General features: G+C 46.8%; 1 protein-coding gene across 36 annotated transcripts in view, besides 1 other annotated feature; it reads right to left on the bottom strand.

Annotated features, from left to right (window-relative positions):
• Nucleotides 1-17005, bottom strand: part of ATP9B (ATPase phospholipid transporting 9B (putative)) — a 308890-nt gene that overhangs the window by 2844 nt on the left and 289041 nt on the right. For 16 of the 36 annotated variants that reach the window (NR_148360.2, XM_017025726.2, XM_011525963.3 and 13 more), the window contains 4 exons: nucleotides 15978-16086; nucleotides 2558-2615; nucleotides 1339-1542; nucleotides 14-46 (listed from right to left, as the gene is read on the bottom strand). Coding sequence is in view for 35 of the 36 variants with exons in the window: in XM_017025726.2 (XP_016881215.1) it covers nucleotides 14-46; nucleotides 1339-1542; nucleotides 2558-2615; nucleotides 15978-16086 (404 nt within the window). In the remaining variant the exon portion in view is untranslated. Of the gene's footprint in view, nucleotides 1-13; nucleotides 47-1338; nucleotides 1543-2557; nucleotides 2616-2966; nucleotides 13702-14742; nucleotides 15469-15977; nucleotides 16087-17005 lie in introns of those variants that run through there. The other 20 variants (XM_017025727.2, XM_017025730.2, XM_047437489.1 and 17 more) reach the window with 6 other exon arrangements.
• Nucleotides 12828-14027: an enhancer, noted in NCBI's record as "P300/CBP strongly-dependent group 1 enhancer chr18:77121413-77122612 (GRCh37/hg19 assembly coordinates)". NCBI's record gives its function as "activates an origin of replication core promoter dependent on BRD2, BRD4, P300/CBP, MED14 and CDK7 cofactors, with strong dependence on P300/CBP, by STARR-seq in HCT116 cells {active_cell/tissue: HCT116}" and the evidence as "EXISTENCE:reporter gene assay evidence [ECO:0000049][PMID:35650434]".

Below are 17005 nucleotides of genomic sequence, written 5' to 3'. Positions count from 1 at the left end.
TAACTTTACCTACCTAAGAAAGCTCCAAAAGACACTCTGCCTATACCTGTTCCAAAACAGTAATAAAGAAAATAAAGGACAGATTAAAGGAGATACCAGGATATTTCAAGGGGTTAGCAAAAGAATAAGAAATACATTAAAAAGCAATAAAATGGCAGTGCAAGCTGCGTTTTCAATGTGGTTTTAACATCTCATTTCCCTGCCTGATACCATACAACTGTTTAAACATCACTGAAACCCAATAGCTAAAGGCTCCTGTGTCTGAGAAGCACACACCTTGGCATTCCCCTAGGAGACAGAGACCTATCCAGGTCTGAGAGGAGCTCAGCACAGAAGGCGCACGCGCTGGAGGGCTGGCCATGTTCTGCAGGTGTGAAAGGAGCTCTGCACATTCATTCACATGTATGTAAGCGTGTTACTACTGATCTTCAGACCCGCCCCTAATGGGAAGTGATACCGTCTCCAGTTTGCAGATGCAAAAGCTGAGGCTCAAAGTCGTGGTGAGTCCTGCCCACGCCCGTGATGCATGTCTTTGTCGTTTTGTGAGCTCACTGTGGCACTGAGTGTGTTCACGTGTCCTTGAGTGTGTTAATTCATGATCTTACAGGAAAATATTCTAAGAGCCAATTTTCAAAAGAAAAATAACTAGCACATTATAACTTGAAAATAACCATTTCTTATGAGCCACGGGTATTTTCTGAGAGTTCTTTTATGTAAGAACAGGAACATTTCACATTTTCCTACGTACAGGTTCACCACTGCATGGACACTCAGGCACTGAGACGAGGACAAGTGCACACGCGGCTGTGTTCACCTCCCGCAGGTCTGAGTCCCAACTGCTCCCGAGTGGCTGTGCTGCTCATGTCAGGGGACCAGCCAGCCAGTGACCGACGGGGCTCAGCGCCTCCTGTCAGGGGACCGGCCAGCCAGTGACCGACGGGGCTCAGCGCCTCCTGTCAGGGGACCGGCCAGCCAGTGACCGACGGGGCTCAGCGCCTCCTGTCAGGGGACCGGCCAGCCAGTGACCGACGGGGCTTAGCGCCTCCTGTCAGGGGACCGGCCAGCCAGTGACCGACGGGGCTCAGCGCCTCCTGTCAGGGGACCGGCCAGCCAGTGACCGACGGGGCTCAGCGCCTCCTGTCAGGGGACCGGCCAGCCAGTGACCGACGGGGCTCAGCGCCTTCATCCGTGGTGCAGGGACAGTAAGAGCAGGCACTTTCTGATATGGGTTTTACCATGATCCACAACTTAACACAATGTATTCAGAAGCAACAATAAGAAAATACTTCAAAATCATGAATAGAGAACGATTCAAAAAACAATTCCAAGGCAACTTACCAAAATATTCATTGAGAAAAGCGAGTGAGGACACGTAGCAGCCTAAGCTGAGGAACTCGGCCACCACCATCAGCCAGTGCCACGTGCGGACGGTCAGCGCCACCATCAGCAGCTCGGTCAGGATCAGTGCGGTGAAGGAGATGGCCACCACGTGGACGAACTCAGACTCGAAGAGCACCAGGGCCCCATACATGAGGATGCCGCCTGAAAAACAGCAGGAGCTTTTTCCATGCACACGAGCAGGGTGTAAGCCAGCTAGAGGAAACAGCCTTGAACCAGCAACGTCACTCAAGACCCTTAAAAATAGGGGATAGGCCAGGCGCAGCAGCTCATGTCTGTCTTCCCAGCACTTTGGGAGGCTGAGGCGGGTGGATCACCAGGTCGTGAGTTCCAGACCAGCCTGGCCAACATGCTGAAACCCCATCTCTACTAAAGATACAAAAAATTAGCCAGGCGTGGTGGCACGCACCTGTAATCCCAGCTACTGGGGAGGCTGAGGCAGAAGAATCATTTGAACCCAGGAGACGGAGGTTGCAGTGAACTGAGACCACACCACTGCACTCCAGCCTGGGTGACAGAGCGAGACTCTGTCTAAAAAAAAAAAAAAAAAGGCGGATAATGGCCATGCCCATGCTTCATGCTGATGAACAAGTCACTTAAACTCTGGATTATGGACAAAATAAGATGGGATCCTAGCTACATCAGTTAGAAATGGCAAATCGAGGCAGACAAACTTTTTAATCTCTGGATACGAAGCCACACCTCTACTTCAATTAGTGTAAATAATTATGTGTTGCATGTAATTAATATATCTGATCTGTTAGTTATACTTGCAACAATCTCCCATTTATCTGAACACTAAACAAAGGGCAGCTAATGGCTTCTCCTTACATAACTCAGATTTCTCAAAGTCTTTTTATCACTCTATGAAAGAAAGCCATTGTGCAGGGTATACAATGTGGTAAGTGCTTGTTAAAATCTTTCTGGATTAACATTTAATTAAAAACTAAGTCAGTTTTTAGGTGGCATGCATCAGTTAAAAAAAAAAAAGGACCCATGTTGCTGGAATATTGATTTACAAGATAAACAGAAGGGAGTATTTAACTGCTGATGGCATTTTAAGCTGTTGGAATTTAATCTGCAAGTAAAAACAATATTGCTAACAAAAAGACCAAAATAAAAAAATCTTTAGTCCAGTAAACTAAGGATCTCGTCTTACCTTGGTAAATACTTATTAAAACCCAGATGAGGAAGGTTTTGAAGGACAAGGATCTTCCCTAGGGAAACAGTGGAAGAGCGTCGTTAGTGCGCAGAACCACCTGCTTGACTCACGCCTTCCAGGAGTGAGCTATGGGTCACTTCTGAAAGACCCAGGTCCATAAGCCCCATCCATGCCACCCCAGCCACCTGGTCTACCAGCATTTCGGGCGCCTTTTCCTGACACCCGAATCCTGAAGAAGCTGCCTGGGTCCCACACGTGTCCACTGGTGCCTGAGGTTAGACGTTCATGTTGTCTTCTGTTTGACCTGCCGTCTTGTTGGCTCTACTAAGCCAGGAGTGATGTATACAAGCAAACATTTCAGTGAACCAGGGGGAAAGGCTCTTGGCAATAAAAACATTTTCCCTTATTTCTTGTCAACAAATACTTCTATATTTACTGTTTGGTTTTTTCAGATCAAAAGATACAGAACGTAACAGTTCTTCAGTAAGGATGGCACATCTCAACTGAAGTAAAAAGTTATCCCTTAAACCCTCGCTGGAGAACATGTCACATACATAACCCCATGGAATGGGTCCTTGCGCCAGGCCCTTCACTCTGCGAAGTTGAAGGCAGGTGACGAGGGGGCAGGAGGCAGGGGACGAGGGGGCAGGAGGCAGGGGACGAGGGGGCAGGAGGCAGGGGACGAGGGGGCAGGAGGCAGGGGAGCTCTGGCCCACGGGGTTGCTTGTCCCACTGCATCCCTGAAGATTAATTTAGAGTCCAAGAAGAGAGGCTGAGTCATTAACAATCGCCCTGACTTGTTGGTGCTAAAGAGCTGTCGAAAGTGACACGTGTTGAGAGGCCCTGTCTTTATGTGAGGCCTTTGTTTGACACCTTCGCATCTATTTTCTCAGTTACACAGAGCAGACGTCGTTTCCATTTACAGACGAGGAGACTCGAGAAGTTCCGTGATTTCCTCAGGTTCTTGCTGGAGGCTGGTGGTGCTAAGAAGTGTAGTCTGCTGATCAGAGCCCAAAGTCCTGCCCTGATTTAGGGCTTCCCCACCCACGGGGGAGATTCTCCTAAGGACAGGAAGTGGTTTAAAGAGCCACAGAGGAAAGACAAACCCTCACGGAAGCTCAGGGGACACAGAAGACAGCAGGGAAGATGGAGGATGGTGACAGGCTGTGCTCAGGGCCTGTCTGAACCTGCACCTGCCTGAGTCTGCTGAAGACCTTTAGACACAGGCATGAGCCATCACAGAACAGAGGCACGGACGCTGGAAATGCGGCTATATTCCTGCAGGAGGCCACCAGTGGCAGATTTATGAATTATAATTCTAGTTGTAGTTTAATTATAAAAGACAAGTGTGGTGACATATGTTAAGTGTTTTCCTAGGCTGCAAGAGTCAGTGTGTGAAGATGCTGACGGAGCTTGAGCCCTCACACGTGAATATGAAAAGGAAGATTCAAATTCACTGTGACGAAGAAGCACTACTGTTTTTTTTTTTTTTTTTTTTTTTTTTTTTTTAAGACGGAGTCTTGCTCTTTCACCAGGCTGGAGTGCAATGGCACGATCTTGGCTCATTGCAACTTCTGCCTCCCAGGTTCAAGCAATTCTCCTGCCTCAGCCTCCCAAGTAGCTGGGACTATAGGCGCCTGCCACCATGCCCAGATAATTTTTGCATTTTCAGTAGAGAGGGGGTTTCACCATGTTGGCCAGGATGGTCTTGATCTCTTGACCTCATGATCCGCCCACCTCGGCCTCCCAAAGTGCTGGGATTACAGGTGTGAGCCACCGCACCCAGCCAAGCACCACTGATTTTTAAAAAGCAGAAAACTTTGAAGTTAAACCATTTATATACTCCAAATAAGTTCTCTTGGTACGTATTTCCCAAGGACATTTCTCTCCCTGGGTAATGGTAGGTGTTTGGTCTTTGGTCACGAAATTCATCTGTAATTAAGTATGTGGCTCATTTTATTCAAAAACTGTAAAAGGAAATTTAATTATTTTGACATAAGAAAGAAAAGGCTTATTCTGTGGCCTGATTTGCTGAAATGTATTCAGTTTTATTCATGTAGGTCAATGATTGGTGTCTATGTGGAAGACGAAGTGGTGTCTGTGCTGCCTCTCTTTAGGAGCTGCCAACAGGGAGCACCTCAGACCTGCACCTGTGGGGTGTTCCATATTGAAGCAGATGATATTATAGATTAATAAAAGCAAACACAACAGAATGGGTACAAAAAACATCAACAAAATAGATAATTTGAGAAAAATATCCGTACACCTCCTATTAATGGCTCCCAGACTGTAGCTCTGAGAACAAAATCCTGTTATATTTGATGGTACAGACACGTTACTCATAGAAGCAATTCATTCACTATGGGTTTCATGTTATGGAAGAAGCCACTCTTCCTGGGCCAGGTACCTCTTCATTTGGTTTAGGAAGAGATGAAGATGTCTGTCACTCTGACTGATGTCCCCGTATGTGTGGAATGCCTGGAGTGGAGTCCTGCCTAGCACACGCCTTTCTTCTGCGTTCTTGGGCTCAGGACTTAATCTCTGTGCCTCAGTTCCCTCCTCTGTGAAATAGAAGTAATAGTGGCATGTGGCTCACGTGCATGAAATAAAATGAGCCATGAAATAAAATATGCACAATGCCAGCAGCATAGTAAATATTCACTGAATGCTACTGTTATATTTACCATTAAATATTACGGATTCAGAAAGTATATTTCTATCATACCAAAAATTGTAAAAAATAAAATCAAGCAAATTTTTAAAATTTATTTTCATTTTTTTGAGATGGAGTCTTGCTCTGTTGCCCAGGCTAGAGTGCAGTGGCACGATCTCAGCTCACTGCAACCTCCGCCTCCCAGGTTCAAGCGATTCTCCTGCCTCAGCCTCCCGAGTAGCTGGGATTACAAGTGTGCACCACCACACCCTGCTAATTTTTGTACTTTTAGTAGAGATGGGCTTTTGCCATGTTGGCCAGGATGGTCTTGAACTCCTGACCTCAGGTGATCTGTCTGCTTCGGCCTCCCAAAGTGCTGGGATTACAAGCGTGAGCCACTGCGCCCGGCCAAATCAAGCAAATTTTAAGGAAAGATTAACCAACCTCAAAGTCATATGTGTACAGTTATTCGTACGGAAGCACTCAGTGCTGTGGGGCACAGAGCACGCTGATGCGCGTGTGGCGTGAAAGATGGTCCCTCTGCAAGGATCGGCACCGTGGCATGGGACCAGCCACTCCAAAATGCCAGGACTCCTGTCCTGAGTCTGTAACCACTTTTATCTCTATTATAATTTATTCTCCCAGCCTACCTCCTCAGTATACGTTCTCTGATTTTTTTTTTTTTTTTTTTTTTGAGACGGACTCTTGCTCTGTCGCCCAGGCTGGAGTGCAGTGGTGCGACCTTGGCTCACTGCAGGCTTCGCCTCCCGGGTTCACGCCATTCTCCTACCTCAGCCTCCCGAGTAGCTGGGACTACAGGCGCCCGCCACCACACCCAGCTAATTTTTTTGTATTTTAGTAGAGACGGGGTTTCACCGTGTGAGCCAGGCTGGTCTCGATCTCCTGACTCGTGACCCGCCCGCCTCGGCCTCCCAAAGTGCTGGGATTACAGGCGTGAGCCACCACGCCCGGCTCATTTTTTTTGTATTTTTAGTAGAGACGGGGTTTTACGGTGTTGGCCAGGATGGTCTCGATCTCCTGACCTCGTGACCCGCCCGCCTCGGCCTCCCAATCTGATTCTTACTAGAACAACAACAACAACAAATTTCGCCTGTTCCCATAATTGTAATTATTTGAGAGAAGTTTGGGAGTGTGGAGTAGAAAGATCCTATAGGCAGATGCAAGAGGAGAAAAAGTGCAGTCAAAGCATATCAAGAACAAACCCTCCAAACAGAGAGGGAAGGACGGTGCTCACGGTGGCGCCGGGGAGAGAAGCCCCAATTAACTGGGGCTCTGCACGCGTCTCTGGCCTTGGCAGGAAGGGAAGCTGGGGAGGAAGTGTGGGCTTCCTGCCGTTCAGTGCCTGGCCTGCTCTGCTGAGGGTAGAGACGTGCCAACGACGAGGGTGCCAACGACGGAGTATGCTGGTGGTAGGGTCCTACAGCAAAGGGGTGGGCAGGTGACGTTCCCGACAGCTCTTCTGCTTGCCACACTCACTCCACTGTCACTTTTATTTCTTCTATTAATGGTCTGAAATTACGGTGACTGATTTCTTCAGGGTCTCATTCCTTCATTCTTACATGGATAAGCTCAATTTCATTAAATACATCTCTTAGAATATAAAATGAACTTCAAATATTACTGGACAGAAAGTTCAAATATTACAGGACAGGTTAAATGAGAGCCACCAAGCAGAGAGTGTGCACCTAAAGGTGGACTTGCTGCCACAGAGTGCTCGCAACTGGGCCAGGGCCAGGCGCAGACATGGGCTGGTTTTGAACTCCACACTTTGAAGGATAAGACTGCAGCTTTGCAAACACAGTCCTGTTTTTGTAGAGACAGGGTCCTGATCTGTTGCCGAGGGATGGGGTGCAGTGGTGCGATCACAGCTCACCGCAGCCTCGACCTTCCAGGCTCAAGTGATTCTCCAGCCCGGGCAGCTGGGACCACAGGCACCTGGCGCCATGCCCAATTCTGTTCATCTATCCTAGGAAAATTGAAGACTTTCTTGGCTCTGACTCCGTTTTCTAATCATTTTGCCTTGAAATCACTTTAGACTTGCAGGGAAGCTGCAGAAGCAGCGCAGACAGCCCCATGGCGCCCTCCAGCTCACCCGGGGCCACGGCGCCGTCCAGCTCACCCGGGGCCATGGCGCCCTCCAGCCCACCCAGGGCGACACTCCATGGAGACACAGACACGCACCGTGGCAGAGAAATGGTGTGGAGGTCCTGGTTTTTCTCAAATGTGCTTTTCCTGCCCAGGGCCCCACACAGGACCCCACGCTGCTCTGGCCGTGATGTCTCCTGGGCTCTGTGATCTGGCCAGCGCCTCTGTCTCCCCGTCCTTAATGACCTGGCTGCTCCTCAAAGCTCCGGACATGTCTTTTTGGAATGCCCTTGATTTCGACTTGTCTGATGTCTTCTACTGATGACACTACTGGGGAGGATTTGTTGAGGAGACACGTGTCCCCTGCAGGGCTCCACAGCAGGAGGTGTGGTGGCCTCTCTCATCCCTGGTGATGGGAACTGTGACCCTGGAGTTCCACTTCCCTTGGAAGACCTCGTGACAGTGGCTGCTGCCTTGGTGCCCCAGCGGGGCCTCCAACTGCCCTGGTTCCTTCACCATTTATAACTGGAATCCTCTGGTTGAGGAGGCGCTTTCTCTGCGTACACATGGTGGAGGTGAAGATATCTGTGTGCTCTCTGGTTGAGGAGGCACTTTCTCTGCGTACACACAGTGCAGGTGAAGATATGTGTGCTCTCTGGTTGAGGAGGCACTTTCTCTGCGTACACACGGTGGAGGTGAAGATATGTGTGCTCTCTGGTTGAGGAGGCACTTTCTCTGCGTACACACAGTGCAGGTGAAGATATGTGTGCTCTCTGGTTGAGGAGGCACTTTCTCTGCGTACACACGGTGGAGGTGAAGATATGTGTGCTCTCTGGTTGAGGAGGCACTTTCTCTGCGTACACACGGTGGAGGTGAAGATATGTGTGCTCTCTGGTTGAGGAGGCACTTTCTCTGCATACACACGGTGGAGGTGAAGGTATCTGTGTGCTCTCTGGTTGAGGAGGCGCTTTCTCTGCGTACACACGGTGGAGGTGAAGATATGTGTGCTCTCTGGTTGAGGAGGCACTTTCTCTGCGTACACACGGTGGAGGTGAAGATATGTGTGCTCTCTGGTTGAGGAGGCACTTTCTCTGCGTACACACGGTGGAGGTGAAGGTATCTGTGTGCTCTCTGGTTATCATCTAGTCATGCTGCTGTCTAGGTTGCTGTGCAGGGTGTTCAGTGCTAGCCCGTGGGAGGCTCAGCCTCTGACGCCGTCAGACCTGCCTCCCGCACCAGCCTCACTGATTCTTGTTCAGCAGTTCCTTACTTTTTTGCTCCACAAGAAGTTTCAGGCTCATCTTGTATTTCCCTTGCCTCAGCCCTGGAATTAACCCCTTCTCTAGGGCTCTGCGTGGTGGGGGACGGCACAGGGTCTCGTCCGCATAATCTGCAACACTGAGCTTGCTCACTACCGCCTGGTTCCTGATTCTAGCCACTCGGTGTATGGCCTAGGACTGTGTGTGTTTACTAAGTCATGCTCACACATGTCCGTGTTTATTTCTTCATCTATTTATTTATCTCACAGAAACCACAAGCCCAAACTGATCTGGGCTTCAATCCAGCCCTTCATTTCTAACTTCATCGCTAACAGGGAGAAATCTGCTTCTCATTAGCTACCATGCATGGGCTTATTGATTCCTGTAAGAAGCAAATGCCAAACGCAGCCCACGGTTTGCAGTTCTTTTTGTCTTCAGCCTTACAGTGAACCACAGTCAAACGCCTTTCCCAAGGCCACTGAAAAGAGCTCCTTTCTTCCCAGCCCACAGTGTGGTTCTGCGGTTCATGGGCCGCTGTCTGCATTCCTCCTCCCTTAGCTCCATGCTGGTGCCGTCCAGCGGGCTCTGAGAGAGGCACGGTCAGGTGTCCGCCACCACCGCGCCAGACAGAGCAGCTTCCACACCCACACCCCCTCGGGATGCCTCTCCGGTCACCCTCTACACTCAAACCTTTAGCGACCACGGACGGGTCTCTTCCCTACAGTTCTGCACCTCCCAGGTGTCCGGTAAAAAGAATCAATACCAGCTTTCAAGTCTGGCTTCTGCTGCACAGCAAAATGCACAATGTATGATCCATCATGTCATGTGAGTCAGCAGTAACCCCTCACTGCTAAGCACAATCCCACTGCCTGGTGGCATGACACACAGGCTGGCCATGTCCACTAGGATGTCCTTCCATCACACACAGGCTGTCCCTGTCCACGGAGATGTCCTTCCATCACACACAGGCTGTCCCCGTCCACGGAGATGTCCTTCCATCCACGCACAAGCTGTCCCCGTCCACGGAGATGTCCTTCCATCACACACGGGCTGTCCCCGTCCACGGAGTTGTCCTCCATCCACGCATGGACTGTCCCTGTCCACGGAGATGTCCTTCCATCACGCATGGGCTGTCCCCGTCCACAGAGATGTCCTTCCATCACGCGGGAGCTGTCCCCGTCCACGGAGATGTCCTTCCATCCACGCATGGGCTGTCCCTGTCCACGGAGACATCCTTCTGCCCACTGGCTGAAGGGCACAAGGTTGTTTCCAGCTTCTGGCAGTTATGACAGTGCTGCTGTGAACATTCATATATAGGATTTAGTATGAATCTAAGTTTTCATTTCTCTTGGAGAAATACCTAGGAACAGGACTACTGGGTCATGGGGTAAATACATGTTTACCTTTGTAAGAAATGCCCAAACTGTCTTCCGAAGAGGCTGTATCATTCTCCCTTCACCCTAGCAGTGAAGGGGAGTCTCTGCTGCTCTGGACCCTCCCCAGCCTTTCACGTTGCTGGTATTTCGGCTGTTCTAGCACGGGTGGGTACACGGCATCTCACGGTGGCTTCAACTTGCAGTTCCCTGATGAAAATGGCACTGAGCATCTTCACAGGCTTCCTTGCCATCTGTGGATTATCTCTGGGGTGGTGTCTGTTAATATCTTCTGTCTACTTTAAAAACTGGGTTGTTCTCTTGTTGAATTTTGGGGGTTTCTTATATACTATAGAAACAACTCCTTTATCAAAAGTGTGACATGCAAATATTTCCTTCTAGGCTGTGGCTTGTTTTTTCATTAACAGTATCATTCAGAGAGAAAAACTTTTTTTTTTTGAGACAAGGTCTCGCTCTGTCACCCAGGCTGGAGTGCAGTGGCTCAATCACAGCTCACTGCAGCCTCCAACTCCTCAGCTCAAGCAATCCTTCCACCTTAGCCCCCTGAGCAGCTGGGACTACAGGCACACAGCAACCACCATGCTCAGCTCATTTTTTTCTATGTTTTGTAGAGACACGGTCTCACTATATTGCCCAGACTGGTATTGAGCTTCTGGGCTCAAGTTATCCTCCTGCTTCAGCCTCCCAAAGTGATGGTATTACAGGCATGATAAGCCACTGCACCTGGCCAAAACTTTTAAATTATGGTAAAGTCTAATTTATTATTTTTTTCCTTTAAGGATCATGATTTTGATCTCATGATTAAAAACTCTTTGCTTAACCCAAGGTCATGCATATTTTGTGTGTATTTTCTTCTGAAAGGTTTATAGCTTTACATATAGGTCAAGGGTCCACTTTGGGTGGATTTTCACATGAAGTGTGAGGTGGAGGTTGTGGGTCTGTTGCTCATGGGCGGCGAATTGTCCCAACAGCTGCAGACACAACTCTTCTCCTTCTGATTTCCTCTCATGTTTGCCAAAGATCATCTGACACATGTGATGTATTTCTGGGCTCTCTTTTCTGTTCCACCGATCTTTTTGTCTATCCTTTTGACAATAACACATTGTCTAACTGATTACTGTTTTACAGTAAGTCTTGGAATCAGGTAGTGTGTTTTCCAACTCTGTTATTTTCTTTTTTTTCTTTTCTTTTTTTTTTTTTTTGAGACGGAGTTTCGCTCTGTCGCCCAGGCTGGAGTGCAGTGGCGCGATCTCGACTCACTGCAAGCTCCGCCTCCCGGGTTCACGCCATTCTCCTGCCTCAGCCTCCCGTGTAGCTGGGACTACAGGTGCGCGCCACCATGCACAGCTAATTTTTGTATTTTTAGTAGAGACGGTGTTTCACCGTGTTAGCCAGGATGGTCTCGATCTCCTGACCTCGTGATCCGCCCGTCTCGGCCTCCCAAAGTGCTGGGATTACAGGCGTGAGCCACCGCGCCCGGCCCAACTCTGTTATTTTCTAAATTATTTTGGCAATTCGAGTTCCCTTGCCTTGCCATATAAATTCTAGAGTGAGCTTGTCAATGTGAAGCAATACTGAGGCTCTCAATCCATGAACATCTAATTGAGGCTCAATCCAGGAACATCTGTTTACGCCTCCCAACCCAGGAACATCTGTTTACGCCTCTCATTCCAGGATCATCTGTTTACGCCTCCCAATCCAGGAATATCTGTTTACGTCTCTCAAACCATGAACATCTGCTTACGCCTCTCAATCCAGGAATATGGGTTTATGCCTCTCAATCCATGAACATCTGTTTATGCCTCCGAATCCAGGAACATCTGTTTATGTCTCTCAATCCAGGAACATCAGTTTACGTCTCTCAAACCATGAACATCTGCTTACGCCTCTCAATCCAGGAATATGGGTTTACGCCTCTCAATCCAGGAACATCAGTTTACGCCTCTCAATCCATGAACATCTGTTTATGCCTCTCAATCCATGAACATCTGTTTACGTCTCTCAATCCAGGAACATCTGTTTATGCCTCTTGATCCAGGAACATCTGTTTATGCCTCCCATTCCAGGAACATCTGTTTACGTCTCTCAATCCAGGAACATCTGTTTACGCCTTTTACAGTTTCTTTCCTCAATGTTGTTGGTTTCCAGCACACAGATCTTGGGTGTATTTTGTTAGAGGTACACTTCAGTGTCTCACTTTCTTGTATTATAAATGCTTAAATGTATTATTATAAATGTTTACAAATTTTTTCAAACCCCAATTATTCATTGCTAGTGTACAGAATCAAAAATGATTTTGAAAAATTATTCCTTGTATCCTGAAACTTTATGAAGTTTACAAGTATAGGAGGTTGTATGTGTGTGGATTCCTTGGAATTTTCTACATAGAAAATTATAGCATCCACAAACAGAGATATTTTTATTTCCTCCTTCCTAATCTCAATGTTTTAAATTTCCTTTTATTGTCTTATTCACTATTATTTTGAAAAGAATATAAGTATACAAATATACATTTCAAAAGATAAAACCATTTGAGAGTATTCTACAGAAAATAAAAATTAGTGAAGGGGTCCGAATGGTTCAATACCTAATGGCACCAGAGATTTCATGAAGAACTGTATATTACCTACTTGATATCTTTACAATTAGCACAACTACAAATCAAATGTCTCTGGAGTTAGCTGGTAATGTAAGATTATGAATTGGTAACAAAATTCACAGCCACAGTCTGAGATATTTTGGGACCACGTGAGCTGGCTCACTTAACCAGGGTCACCTTACTAGTCCTGATGCCTGGATCTTGGAGTAACTAGCTTCCCTAAGCGGTTACACACCATTCAGAATGAATGAAGACATGTGCAGAGTTAGGAGAGAGATGAGTAGGTCAGTTTCCCGTCTTACTGGCATCCAGAAAATTAAGTGCCTGAACTCATCGTGAGTAAAGTTTAATAATTCAAAGCAGAATTTGAGCTTCAAAAGAATAACAAAATAGTGTTGCAAATATACCATTTTCTGTAAAGAATAAAAGCTACACAGTTTTAGGAAAGCGAAGGAAATCCTGACTCTTTGTTTAACTGATTCATTCACTGCCTCATTTGTTTATCAAATACTTACTTAACAGATACTGTGTCGATGTGTGGCTCAGGCCATCGAGACACAGCAGGGGACAAATGTTTATACTTGAGGTTGGCTAACTCATTAGGACAATAAGTGAGATTTATAATGCGTGCCTTATTTGTACTTTTAGATTATAAAGACTGGTTATCAAATACACATAAAAAAGAGGAGATTTTCTTTCCAATTGAGTCTTCTCCTGTGTGCAGGGAATGCATGCCTTGCCTCCCTGGCTCGCCTCTGAAGGTATTTTATAAATTTACGGTGACCTGAGATATGTGACTCAGAACTGACTGGACCGGCACTCGCCGGTCAGCCACTCACATTTCAGTCCGCGGCCCTTTATGCTGTTGTTACTCACACTGCAGGCCGCGGCCCTTTATGCTGTTGCTCTATGCCACTGATTCACTGCTTTCTCATCCTGACTAGAATACAGACTTGTTGAGAGCAGGGCTATGTTGTCCTACATCGCAGGAGCTTGAGCCGACGGACTGGGGACTTGGTGTCCACTGACACTGACCGGTGTGGATAAACTGCGTTGGCACATCCAGTCTCCAGCTGCCCCGATCATCAGACAACAACGCAGAGTGCTGCAGTCTGTGCTACCTTGGCGAACTGTTCAGAAGGAACAGAAAGCTTCAAAATAGTTCTTTAGCTTCAATAAGAAAAAATAACTAAATTAACTTTAGTGGCTCAGTACTTTAGTGCTATTTTCTTTTCAAAGAATTTGAAGTGTAGTAGATTTAAAAAAAAGTTACAATGCAGATAAGATGTTGAAGAAAAGAAGCTTAGAGAAAATGAGTGACTGCATTCTTGACCAAAAAAAAAAAAAAATGTAGGGATGGTGACCTGACTTTAGGATACTAAAACATTCTAAATTGTTGCTCACCTTAACGAAAACGGAAATTTAATACCCTTAATGAGATCCAACACAATCAGAAGTGAACAGGGTTCAACGGCACCAGTAACACAGAACTTACGGATTCCATGGCCACAGTTACGGATAATTAGCTGCTCCGTCAGACACCTGTGGCCCTATGAACCTCTTGTTACTAGAGCCATTTAGATATCCACAAAGAAAGAGACTGGTGCGTACAATCTAAATCCTTGAAAACAGTAAAAACGTGTTACTGCCCCACTCCAATAGCCGGTCAAGATGGCTGTGGCATGACAGTCCTATGACAAGTTTCTCCCAGCACAGCGATCCGGGAGCACCGGCTGGGGCTACAAGACCCCTGGTGACCTCTGCCCTGCTTGCGTGCCGGTTTCCTAGGGTTGAGGGTAGCGCATCGAGGTTTACCTTCGTACATGAAAAGCTTGTTCCCGTATGTTTGTAAGGCAGCATTTAGGTAAACATTTTTAGAGTCTCTGGGAATGAGGAAATGCATATGCTACTAAAATGATCATTATTCACACTAGCTTCCCGAAGTTTTTGGATCTTTGCTCCTTACTCTGCTGTACTTTATCACAATGGTTTCATCAGTTTAAGATACTTAAGCGGTCTTGCTTCTAGTTATAGTAGGTGTGACCTGGGACGATGCTTCCCAGTAGTCACGATGATGCCACCATGATAATAACGCTTGGTATTTATATTTCATGTGATACTGGTGAACTAGCTTTATTTGTCTTGATTATAACACTAATGAGAATTCTTTATTTTTTTCAAGAAACTTTAAAGTCTTTATTTCATTTCAATAACATCAAGAAATCAAAAAGTTAACATGACTTACCCAGCACCTCTCTGGCTAATGAGTGGTTATAGCTGGACTAGAGTCTAGTTTGTCAGTGGTTAGCTGGATAAGAGTCTAGCTTGTTAGTGGTTAGCTGTATTAGATAGAGTATCGTTTGTTAGTTACTAGTTAGACAGACAGGAGTCTAGTTTCTCAGTTTGTGGTTAGCTAGGTAAGAATCTAGTTGGTTAATTAGTGGTTAGCTGGACTAGAATCTGTTTGCTAGGTAGTCATTAGCTTTCTTTTTTAATGCCTAATCTAATTCTTTCTTTACCATACAGCTACTGCTTTAAAAATCTGAGTTGATAATTTCAGACACCTGTCATTTATCGATTGTAAATCTAAATTTAATTGCGGTTAGTGGATTTTGTTTTCAATGTTGATTCAAAACAGCTAGCTTTGTGGAAAATACCAGAGTTACCATGATTTGTGTCTGCAGAGCTGAGCCTCTCTTCTACCCCGTATCCTTACACGTTCTATGCTATAAAATATGCTGTCGTAAAGAATATGATAAATTCAAAGCCTCCTTTAATCCTAACAGAGCACAGTTTTAAGCCAAATAAATCCATCTTTCTCAGAGTTTCAGGTGACTGAAGTTTTCTGGGGTGGATTTTTTTCTTGGTGACATCACTGCAAAAATAGTCTATGGACCCTAGGGACAGACACATGTTATCACTTTTCAGGGATAATTCTGAAATCCACAACTACTGACAAACTTGGAAATACACAGGAAACATGCAGCCCATGGGTTCCCCAGCTTTGGAATGCTATTTCTGCAGCAGGTGCAGTGACGCTGTCCGGGGGAGCCTTTCTACAGAAATTACACAGTGAGATCTTCTCTGACATTTGGTGAGCTCACTTCACAAAAGTTCCACAAATGGTTAGAATATCTTTTACAATTCTAATTGTATGTATGATATTAGAGCTTTATTGCAAACATTTGAGAAATTTTTTTCCCTGAGATGTTTTTCCCCTTTTGAAGTTTAACTCAAAGAGAAAATGCCAACAACAATTAGGAGACATAAAAAACATCTTCAAGGACAGAGAATCGTTTTTCACAAAATGCCTGGAAATGCCTCCTGACTGGCCTGTTTCTCACTCGTGTAAAATGCTAGATGTGGGTGCTAGTCGTGAGGCAGACAGCTTGCCTGAGGCCCGTACCTTGGTGAGGTCCTTGTACAGCTCCGGGTAGAGCATCGCCATCTCTGGCTTCACGTCCTGGTCCAGCACTAAGGAGAACACTGGGAACATGGTGTATATGGTGGCATACCTGCAAGACCAAGAGCGGAGTGCAATGGGCGTGAGAAACTTCTACCACACAGCTAGAAACAGACCTCTGGATTAGAGGTCACAGCTTCAAAAACACCAAAAAATACTCCACAAAAACCAACAAAGTAAGTTGGCAACCAAGTAAGATGATTGCGGAGACTGAGTATTTATCTCAGAGCACAGTAGCATGTTCTATAAGTCACAAATGCTTACGGGTAGAAGAATGATTTTTAAAAATGTTTACCTTTCTATGTTGAGATCATTGTAGACTCACATGCAGTTGTCAGGAATAGCACCGAGATCTTATGTGATCTTTACCCAGTTCTCCCAATGGTAACATCTTAGATAACTGTAGTGTGAACCTCACCACCAGCATCCACACGGACACCTCCAGACCCAGAGCACCCCTCACACAGGGTCCCTCACACAGACACCTCCAGACCCACAGCACCCCTCACACAGAGTCCCTCACACAGACACCTCCAGACCCAGGGCACCCCTCACACAGACACCTCCAGACCCAGAGCACCCCTCACACAGGGTCCCTCACACGGACACCTCCAGACCCAGGACACCCCTCACACAGACACCTCCAGACCCAGAGCATCCCTCACACAGGGTCCCTCACACGGACACCTCCAGACCCAGGGCACCCCTCACACAGACACCTCCAGACCCAGAGCACCCCTCACACAGGGTCCCTCACACGGACACCTCCAGACCCAGGGCACCCCTCACACAGACACCTCCAGACCCAGAGCATCCCTCACACAGGGTCCCTCACACAGACACCTCCAGACCCAGAGCATCCCTCACACAGGGTCCCTCACACGGACACCTCCAGACCCAGGACACCCCTCACACAGACATCTCCAGACCCAGAGCACCCCTCACACAGGGTCCCTCACACGGACACCTCC

The sequence above is a fragment of the Homo sapiens genome, chromosome 18 (assembly GCF_000001405.40).
Source record: "Homo sapiens chromosome 18, GRCh38.p14 Primary Assembly".
NCBI classification, from domain to species: Eukaryota; Metazoa; Chordata; class Mammalia; order Primates; family Hominidae; genus Homo; species Homo sapiens.
Note: the sequence above shows the minus strand (reverse complement) of the source record. Positions and strands in the feature narration are given on the sequence as shown.